The 10,810-nt window shown below is 40.6% G+C and overlaps 1 long non-coding RNA gene across 1 annotated transcript in view; it reads left to right on the top strand.

The window, feature by feature from the left end:
* Positions 1 to 717: 717 nt before the first annotated feature.
* The window catches only part of LOC107985242 (uncharacterized), a 199,987-nt gene continuing 189,894 nt past the window's right edge, over positions 718 to 10,810 (top strand). The window contains exons 1-2 of the long non-coding RNA XR_001738356.2: positions 718 to 915; positions 4,140 to 4,253. This is a non-coding gene — a long non-coding RNA (uncharacterized LOC107985242). The remainder of the gene's footprint in view (positions 916 to 4,139; positions 4,254 to 10,810) is intronic.

Here is a 10,810-nt window from a genome sequence, read left to right as displayed (position 1 = left end):
CTGCCTGCCTGCCATGCCGGCCCCGGGCAATGAGGGGCTTAGCACCCGGGCCAGCGGCTGCAGAGGGTGTACTGGGTCCCCCAACAGTGCCAGCCCACGGCGCTGCGCTCGATTTCTCACTGGGCCTTAGCTGCCTTCCCGCTGGGCAGGGCTTGGGACCTGCAGGCCACCATGCCTGAGCCTCCCACCCCGTCCGTGGGCTCCTTTGCCGCCCGAGCCTCCCGGATGAGCGCCGCCACCTGCTCCACGGCGCCCAGTCCCATCGACCACCCACGGGCTGAGGAGTGCGTGCGCACGGCACCGGGACTGGCAGGCAGGTCCACCTGCAGCCCTGGTGTGGCATCCACTGGGTGAAGCCAACTGGACTCCTGAGTCTGGTGGGGAAGTGGAGAACCTTTGTGTCTAGCTCAGGGATTGTAAACGCACCAATCAGCTCCCTGTCAAAACAGACTACTCGGCTCTACCAATCAGCAGGATGTGGGTGGGGCCAGATAAGTGAATAAATGCAGGCTGCCCGAGCCAGCAGCGTCAGCCCGCTCCGTTCCCTTTCTCTGGTGTGTAAGGTTTGTTCTTTCGCTCTTTGCAATAAATCTTGCTACTGCTCACTCTTTGGGTCCACGCTGCTTTTATGAGCTGTAACACTCACCGCGAAGGTCTGCAGCTTCACTCCTGAAGCCATCGAGACCACGAGCCTACCGGGAGGAACGAACAACTCCAGACGCGCTGCCTTAAGTGCTGTAATATGGCGAAGGTCTGCAGTTTCACTCTTGAGCCAGGGAGACCACGAACTGGGCGGGAACACCAGAAGGAAGAAACTCCAGACGCGCCACCTTAAGAGCTGTAACACTCACCGCGAGGGTCTGCGGCTTCATTCTTGAAGTCAGTGAGACCAAGAACCCACCAATTCCGGACACAGTAAGCATTAATACAACCATGTAGTGTAACAAGTACTCAAGGCTTAAAGGGAACTTGGCAGTATAAGAAATATTTTGGGTTCTCTCTGCTTTTTCATAACTTTTTTTGTTGAACTTTCAGAGGTATGTACATGGGCAGAGAAACACAAAGGTACATGTGCTGGAGAAATACTAGACAAAGTAGGAAGAGGTGTAAGTGCCCAGAAGAAAAGCTAAGAGGAATATTATAATCTGTTAAAAAATAGTTTGAGCTTTAACGGTAGTTAGAATAAAGCATGCTATTGACTTGACTTTCAAATTTTAGGGTAGGTAATGACTAAAAATTACTTTGAAACTTTTTACAGTAATCCTGTAACAGCTTAAACAGTGACTTAAAATGTAACTTAAACTAGGCAAAACAAAATTTTAGAATAAGTTTTCCTCCTGGCTGTCAGTTAGAAACTCTAACCTGAGTGGTCATTTTACACTCCCAGTCTCTGAGAAGTGGATTCTACTCTTAGATCCACAATCTTAAGTCTGACTTCCTAACAGCAACCCCATTGTGACTAGACATATTTCTCCTGTTTCCTTTTAAATCTAATCGAAGTGACAGGAGTTGTTGCATTAACTCCAAAGAAAAGTACAGAATAAACAGTGTAGAAATGTTACTCATTTATACCTTTTGGTCAGACACACACACACATTCACACACATACACTCCAAAATAAGTGATTGCTTCCAGTTAGTGGGTGGAGATGGATCTCAGCAGAATCTGTGAGTACTACAGGTTGGGGTTTCCTGTCTTTAAAATGGGACTGCAGGGGAGGGAGTGCTGTGAATGAGTTGGACTGGATGACTTCTAACATTCTGCAAGGCCTAATTTTGCAAAATCCCTTTTCATTCACCCACTAATTTTTATTTATTTATTTATTGAGACACAGTCTCGCTCTGTCCGACAGGCGGGAGTGCAGTGGCGTGGTCTTGGCTTGCTGCAGCCTCTGCCTCCCGGGTTTGGACAATTCTCTTGTCTCAGCCTCCCAAGTGGCTGGGATTGCAGGCTCACGCCACCACACCTGGCTAATTTTTACATTTTTAGTAGAGACGAGGTTTTGCTGTATTGGCCAGGCTGGTCTCGAACTCCTGACTCAAATAATCCACCTGCCTCGGCCTCCCGAGGTGCTGGGATTGCAGGTGTGATCCACCACGCCCAGCCCCAGTCATTATTTTGGAGTACTTTCTGTATGCTAAACAGCACACTAGGGATAGCTCTATCATTTCCTAGCACAGCATAAATTTTATGGTTGCTACTGTAGGTTTATAATTTGTAAGACTGGTCTAATTTCCATCAGCCATACTCATATTAGATTTTAAAAGGAGGTAACCTTTTTTCTCTTTGAACCAAAGGAATGAGTTAGTTTTGAAAACAGTTTGGAACACTATAGTGTGGATTCTTCTACCTTTGTCTCAACTCCTTATTCTTAACAATTTTGATTCTAGAAAACTAGAATGAGAGTTAAGAGATACCAATTATTGCCAGGCATGGTGGGTCATGCCTGTGGTCCCAGAACTTTGGGAGGCCAAGGCTGGCGGATAGCCTGAAGTCGGGGATTCGAGACTAGCCTGGACAAGGTGGCAAAGCCCAGTCTCTACTAAAAATACAAAAACAAACAAACAAACAAACAAACTGTCCAGGCATGGTGGTACACGCCTGTGGTCCCAGCTGCTCTGGAGGCGGGGGCAGGTAAATCCCTTGAACCTGGGAGGCAGAGGTTGCGGTGGGCCGGGATCGCGCCACTGCACTCCAGCCTGGACAAGAGTGAAGCGACATCTCAAAAAAAAAAAAAAATCAATTACCAACTAAAAACATAACTCCAGTTTGGTGGTTTGCATATTTTAAGGAGATAAATGTTTAAACATAATTGACTACTTTCAGAAATGGTCTCCTGGTAGTTTTTGTGAGTATTTCTACATTCAGATCAAAAGATTTGCGTACACCTGACAGCTGAGGAAACTTTATTTTTTTCTTCACTATTATGCACTTTCGTGGTATTATAGTCTCTCTCAGTTCATTTTTAATACACTTAATTCTTTTTGAGAACTTTCCTCCACAGCATATACCTATTTTTTTATTTTTCAGTTTTAGAAATTATGTATTACATTCTTATTTTAAAAAATGGGAATTTCTTGCCTTTTGTAACTACGTTCACACTGAACTTCTCTTCTAATATTCCCATTTTAGTGTTATCATTTTATTCAAGCAATGTTCTGCATTTATATTATGATGGTTATATAAATAGCAAAGCTGAGCTGTACAGAAACATAAGACTACAGTGCATTTCTTACATGACATTAGGTTTTATAAACTTTAGTTAACCATTTCTTAGCTTTTTTCACTTGAAAACAATTCACATTTTTTTATCTCATTCTCTTTTAGCTGGTTGTCATTTAAGCCCATCACACATCTGCTCCCCAGGGATACACCTTCATTATAATCTGGTAATTCCTTTAATGAAGTCTAACCTTTACAAAAAAGTGGTGCAAAAACATAAATGCACATTTTTATGAATATTTACATATAATATTAAACAACCATATGCAATGAGACTCCAGATGAGGAAACAGATTTCCTGAACTCTAGAATACCCCATCATGATATACCATAGTCACTTTTCGCAGTGTAACTATAGGTTGGTGCAAACGTAATTGATGTTTTTGCCATTGAAAGTAATTACTTTGATAGTAATTAACTAATCCAACACCAAGAATATAGTTGTTGATCTATGTAGGAGAAAAATGATGCAGTTTCTTCTGTTTTAAAATGTATTATAAGAGCAATGCATCAGAAGGTCTTAATCCTATTAACATTTATAAAACTTCCCCTTTGAATATCCCTGGGAATAAGTAGTGAAAACTTAAAGTAAGTAAGTATTAAGCCAGTGAATGGAAAAAAAAAAAAAAGCTAGACTTTTGTTACCACATATGTTTCTATAATACTAATTAATCCAAGTAGATACATAGAGAAATTATGTCAATATAACATAGAGTTTTTATTTTTTAATATAAATTTTTTCTGTGCTAGTAGAACAAGGATAGTAGAAATAATAACTTCAGGGAGGAAATAATATATTTTCCATTTGGCTGATACACAAATAAGCACTTTTTAGTTCTAAGAAAGTTAAAACGACTGCAGGGAATTTCAACTTCTGAGAAGTTGAAGTATGTACTTTTCACTATTCTTCCCACTAGGAACAATTAAAACCCCTGCAAATTACATATGAAACAAGTTTAAGAGGACTTTGAGAGATGAAGAAAAGCAGGCAGACCAGCCAGGGACCTTGCAGCCTGAAGAAGGACAGGAAGGTAAGATCCCTGGGTTTCCTTTTGTTCTCATATAACCCAGTCTTGGAACAGAAGAAGTCAGCAACATAAAAATACCAATAGGCACAGGCAAAATAAAGTCTCAACAAAATCCACTCTATCTAGAGAAGGAGCAGTCTAGCAAGACAGAAAATCTTCTGGACAATAACAGGTCTACTCTAGCAAAACTCCACAGCAGAAACTGTGAGACTACCTCCATTCGTGCTGGCAAAAGCCAGGTGGTGAGCCTGGACTTCCGCCCTTACCAGGCTATACCAAGGCACCCAACTCTGATGTCAGAGGAGGCCAAAAAGAGATCCAGAGTTTTCATCTTCACTGGTTGCTTACAAGCATTTCCCCGTTGCAATGCCAGTGGAAACAAGAGGGAAAACTTAGGTTACCTCACCAACCTGGCAGTAATGAAGTGCCACTCTAATTTCCCATGGAGTGGTGTGTGTCAGAGGATGAAGAGTAGAGAGTCGTGATGTTCATAATTGCTCAATGGTGTCAGCCTCCAAGCTATTGATTCCATAGACTACCTATACTTTCAGAATAGACAAAACTATTAAAAATTCCTTATTCCTTATTCCTTACCATTACAACTTTGATTCTGCTTGCTATGGGGCCACGCTCAGATTAAAAGTAATGATTTTCATCTTTGCCTTATAAACTTTGTTAACTCTAGTTAACCGATATAAGTTAATTCTTGAAATATTTATATTTCATCTGAAAAATTCTGGCGTATATGAGTTCATATTTTTTTACTTGTGATAAAAATCTCAGTCACCTTAGGGATAGAACTTCCAGAGTGCCTTTCAAAGCGATATCTCGGCTTTTTATCTCCTGACAGGTTAAGAGTGTAGAGTTTTGTCAATTATTCATTTGAAGGAGTTTTTATGTTTTCTTTTAATGTGCTTCTTATATTGGAAAAAAATTCATGACCCAATAATTGAGGTAGTGTCTGGTTTGTGTCATAATATGCAAATAGCAAAATGGAAGATAATACTCCAGCCTGATAACATGTGTGATGTATGTGGTGATGGTGAATGGTAAGGGTTGTGTCTATGTGCTGATCTGGGGAAACTGCTAGAGGAATAATAGAGTCACCAAATTTGAGCAATATGAAAGTGTAAAATCTGAATCAAGTACGTTGAGATCAAAGTTAGCAGTGACTGGCAAGGAAATGAAAGAAAATAAAGCGACATACCAAATAAATGTGAAAAATGCTGAGACCAGCTCGGTCGGGTGAAAAATGCTCAGACCAGCTTGGTTGGGGAGACCCTAATCCAGCAGCGCTAGAGGAATTAAAGACACACACAGAAATATAGAGGTGTGAAGTGGGAAATCAGGGGTCTCACAGCCTTCAGAGCTGAGAGCCACAAACAGAGATTTACCCACATGTTTGTTAACAGCAAACCAGTCGTTATAATTGTGTCTATAGATATTAAATTAACTAAAAGTATCCCTTAAGGGAAATGAAGGGATGGGCTGAATTAAAGGAATAGGTTAGGCTGGTTAACTGCAGCAGGAACATGCACTTAAGACACAGATCATTCATGCCATTGTTTATGGCTTAAGAATGCGTTTAAGTGGTTTTCCGCCATGGACGGGCCAGGTGTTCCTTGCCCTCATTCCCGTAAACCCACAACTTACCAGCTTGGGCGTTAGGGCCATTATGAACATGTTACAGTGCTGCAGAGATTTTGTTTATGGCCAGTCTTGGGGCCAGTTTATGGCCGGATTTTGGGGGGCTTGCTCCCAACAGAAAAATAACTTAGTTTTCTGTATGTTTGCTTGTTGCAATTCTCTCCATCCTTGGCAAGATTCATTTATATTTGTACAACTTCTGTTTTAGTGCTGAAGTGTCAAAACTCAGCCAGGCGTGGTGGCTCATGCCTGTAATTTCAGCACTTTGGGAGGCTGAGGCAGGTTAATCCCAGCTACTCTGGAGGCTGAGGCAGGAGAATCGCTTGAACCTGGGAGGCAGAGGTTACAGTAAGCCAAGATCGCGCCACTGAACTCGGTCTCAAAAACGAAACAAAACAAAACAAACAAACAAACAAAAACCAGTCAAACTCAGAGTTCATATGTTTCCACTACGCTCTGTTTTATTAGTTAGATACTTACCTTCCATGCTACTAGTTACTGTAATAAGTTCCCAGTAGTTAAAATATCAACATCTCTGGTCTCTTATCTCGAAATGGTACAGTCCCCATTTAATAAGGATAAAATCCATTCTCTACTTAACACATTTTAATTTAGTGCTAAAATATTTTTTTAAAGCCTTGAAACAGATTTGTAATATAAATATATTCAAAACTACATGTAACAAGAAATAACTTTTACTTTATCATCTTCAGGAAATTCAAAAACTTGGGACTTCATAAGCCTTGATGGTTTGCATGTTCCTATAAAGGAATGCCTATTATTTCTTCAGAAGAAGATATTACACATAAAATGAGACAGCAATTAAGAAGAACAATTTCCTGAATGAAAATGTTCTATCTTCTTTTGCCAAATTACATTTGGAAGTCTTCTGGTACTGACATAAACTGTAATGTTCTTTGGAGCAATTCAGGCATAACTATGGAATCAGAGGGTGGAGATAAGTTATAGGTGTAGAGATATATTATCACAACATATGAGATAATTTGGAGTATCTCAGGCACTTAATCCAAGTAATAATTAACTCTTTCAGCTTATTTCTATTTTACTTTACATTCTCCTATTTTGGGAGAGGACAAAATGATTTCTTTGCAAGGAATCAGTACTTCTGCATTTTGATCTTGATTCTTCTATGCAAACTTTCAAATGACTCTCTAATATTGTGTTTATAGTCTAGTGTAATACCTGTGTGAAATGAATTAAGAAGATGAACATATTTATATGAAAAATACACACAAAATATTACACTTACTGATATAACAAGGACACAATTTGGTTATAGGTAGCAATCAGCTATTCCATTATCAGTGAAATAAGGGAAAATAGGGAGGTCTTAAGTCTTATCTCACCAATACTAACTTTGTATAAACCAGTGACAATTTTCTTACTAATTTTTTACCTTACTTTTTCACCTATGTGTAAGGATAATGTCTGGCTGGTCTTGAACTCCTGACCTCAAGTGATCTGCCTGCCTCAGCTTCCCAAAGTGCTGGGATTATAGGCGTGAGCCACCGCGGCCAGCTGATATATTTTTACATGGAACTTCTGATCTCAGGTTTTGATAGTAGAATGTTAGAGACAGGTGATTCATCTTCACTGTCAACCCATTAATGCTCGGGAAAATACGCCAAGGTTTATTCCTGTATTTCTCTTGTACTCCCGTTGACTATTTTTACTTTCCTTGAAGAGCTTGCTTTAGTATCTTTCCAGTGCAGGTTCTGTGGGTTAAAACAAAATAAAATAAGTTGTCGTTTTTTTCTGAAAATGCCTATTCAGTCTGAGTACTCAATGACATTTTTGCTTGATTTAGAATTCTAGAAAAGACTTTTTATTTCTATTTTTACATTTCAGCATCTTTTAAATGTTTTTCAGTTGTTTTTAGACCATTGTCAATTTTGTTGAAAAGTCAGCTGTCTTCTTTTGCTGCTTTGAAGGTACTATGCTTCTTTTCTCTTGCTACTTTTGGGATTATTATTATTATTGCCATTATAATTTGATTAAAATGGGTCATGGTGGAATTTTTAAATTGGTATTTTTTGCCTCGTTATTGTATTTCTACTGCATGTGATTCTCTCAGCTTATTGAAAATTTGATGTCTTTTAAGGATTTCTCATTTTTTTGCTGGTTAACTGTTTAGCTATCATATATGTCCCATTGTTTGTCTTCTCTAATTCTGGAATTCTGGTTGAACATACGATAAATAATCCTTTGTGTTCACATGACTCAGACACTTCTTTCTGTATTGTCTTTCTCTTAATTCTCTCTGCTTTATTTTGATATTGGATATTGACTATCTTCAAGCTCAGTAATCTTTTCTGTTGTATCTAATACACTTTTGAAACCATCTACTGAGGTATTAATAGCAGGTATTTTATTTGTCAATCCTAGAATACCAATTTTATCCTGTTTTCTAGATTCTAACATTTATTAAAAATTTATATACCTTTATTTCTGTAATTCTTCTATTTTCTTGAACATATTAACCACAGCTATTTTGAAGTTTGGTCATAATTTACATTTTTATTTTTTTACCTTGGTTTTTGGCTATATGGCCTGAAAGGGAGAATAAAGAATTATGGGATTATAATAGAGAAACCTATTCCTGGTGATAAAATTTTGGGATGCCTGAAACATTATTATTCCTGATTGTATGAGTCCTTTTTCACCCTGCTGATAAAGACATATCTGAGACTGGGAAGAAAAAGAGGTTTAATTGGACTTTCAGTTCCACATGGCTGGGAAGGCCTCAGAATCACAGTGGGAGGTGAAAGGCACTTCTTACATGATTGCAGCAAGAGAAAATGGGGAAAAAGGAAAAGTGGAAACCCCTGATAAACCCATCAGATCTCATAAGACTTATTTACTATCATGAGAATAGCACAGGAAAGACCAGCCCCCATGATTCAATTACCTCCTCCTGTGTCCCTCCCACAACACATGGGAATTCTGGGAGATAAAATTCAAGTTGAAATTTGGGTGGGGACTCAGCCAATCCATATCATTTCAACCTGGCTCCTCCATATTTCATGGCCTCACATTTCAAAACCAATCATGTCTTCTCAACAGTCCGCCAAAGTCTTAACTCATTTCAGCATTAACCTAAAAGTCCACAGCCCAAAGTCTCATCTGAGACAAGCCAAGTTCCTTTAGCCTACGAGCCTGTAAAATCAAAAGCAAGTTAGTTATTTCCTAAATACAATGGCGGTACAGGTATTGGGTAAATACAGCCATTTCAAATGGGAGAAATTGGCCAAAACAAAGGGGTTGCAGGGCCCATGCAAGTCTGAAATCTGGCAGGGCAGTCAAGTCTTAAAGCTCCAAAATGATCTCCTTTGACTCCAGATCTCACATCCAGGTCACGCTGATGTAAGCGGTGGGTTCCCATGGTCTTGGGCAGCTCCACCCCTGTGGCTTTGTACAGCCTCCCACCCAGCTGCTTTTACCAGCTGGCCTTGAGTGTCTGTGGCTTTTCCAGGCACATGGTGTTGGTGGATCTACCATTCTGGGGTCAGGAGAATGGTGGCCCTCTTCTCACAGCTCTACTAGGTGGTGCCCCAGTAGGAACTCTTTGTAGGGGCTCCAACCCTACATCTCCCTTCCACGTTGCCCTAGTAGAGGTTCTGTATGAGGGCCCCGCCCCTGCATCAAACTTTTGCCTGAGCATCCAGGCATTTCCATAAATCTTCTGAAATATAGGCAGAGGTTCCCAAACCTCAATTCTTGACTTCTCTGCACCCGCAGGCTCAGCAACAAATGGAAGCTGCCAAGACTTGGGGCTTCCACCCTCTGAAGCCATAGCCCGGGCTCCCTGTTGGCCCCTTTCAGCCATGGCTGGAGCAGCTGGGACACAGGGCACCAAGTCCCTAGGCTGCACACAGCTCAGGGACCCTGGGCCCAGCCCGTGAAACTGCTTCTTCCTCCTGGGCCTCTGGGCCTGTGATGGGAGGGGCTGCTGTGAGAATCTCTGACATGCTCTGGAGACATTTTCCCCTTGGTCTTAGGGATTAACATTAGGTTCCTTGCTACTTATACATATTTCTGCAGCCAGCTTGAATTTCTCCCGAGAAAATGGGTTTTTCTTTTCTATAGCATAGTCAGGCTGCAAATTATCTGAAAGTTTATGCTCTGTTTCCCTTTTAAAACTGAATGCCTCTAACAACACCCAAGTCACCTCTTGAATGCTTTGCTGCTTAGAAATTTCTTCCCCCAGATACCCTAAATCATCTTTCTCAAGTTCAAATTTCCACAAATCTCCAGGGCAGGGGAAAAATGCCACAATTCTCTTTGCTAAAACATAACCAGAGTCACCTTTGTTCCAGTTCCCAACAATTCCTCATATTCACCTGAGACCACCTCAGCCTGGATCTTATTTTCCATATCGCTATCAGCATTTTGGGCAAAGCCATTCAACAAGTCTCTAGGAAGTTCCAAACTTTCCCACATTTTCCTGTCTTCTTCTGAGTCCTCAAAACTGTTCCAGTCTCTGCCTGTTACTCAGTTGCAAAGTTGCTTCCACATTTTTGGGTATCTTTTCAGCAATGCCCCACCTTACTGGTACCAATTTACTGTATTAGTCTGTTGTCATGCTGCTGATAAAGACATACCTGAGATTGGAAAGAAAAAGAAGTTTAATTGGACTTACAGATCCACATGGATGAGGAGGCCTCAGAATCATGGCGAGAGGTGAAAGACACTTCTTACATGGCAGAAACGAGAAAATGAGGAAGAAGCAAAGGCAGAAACCCGTGATAAACCCATTAGCTCTCATGAGACTTACTCACTAGCACGAGAATAGCATGGGAAAGACCGGCCTTCATGATTCAGTTACCTCCTACTGGGTCCCTGCCACAACACGTGGGAATTCTGGGAGATACAATTCAAGTTGAGATTTCGGT

The sequence above is a fragment of the Homo sapiens genome, chromosome 1, assembly GCF_000001405.40.
Source record: "Homo sapiens chromosome 1, GRCh38.p14 Primary Assembly".
Classification (NCBI taxonomy): Eukaryota; Metazoa; Chordata; class Mammalia; order Primates; family Hominidae; genus Homo; species Homo sapiens.
The sequence above is the reverse complement of the archived record's forward strand: the minus strand, read 5'-3'. Positions and strand labels throughout refer to the sequence as shown.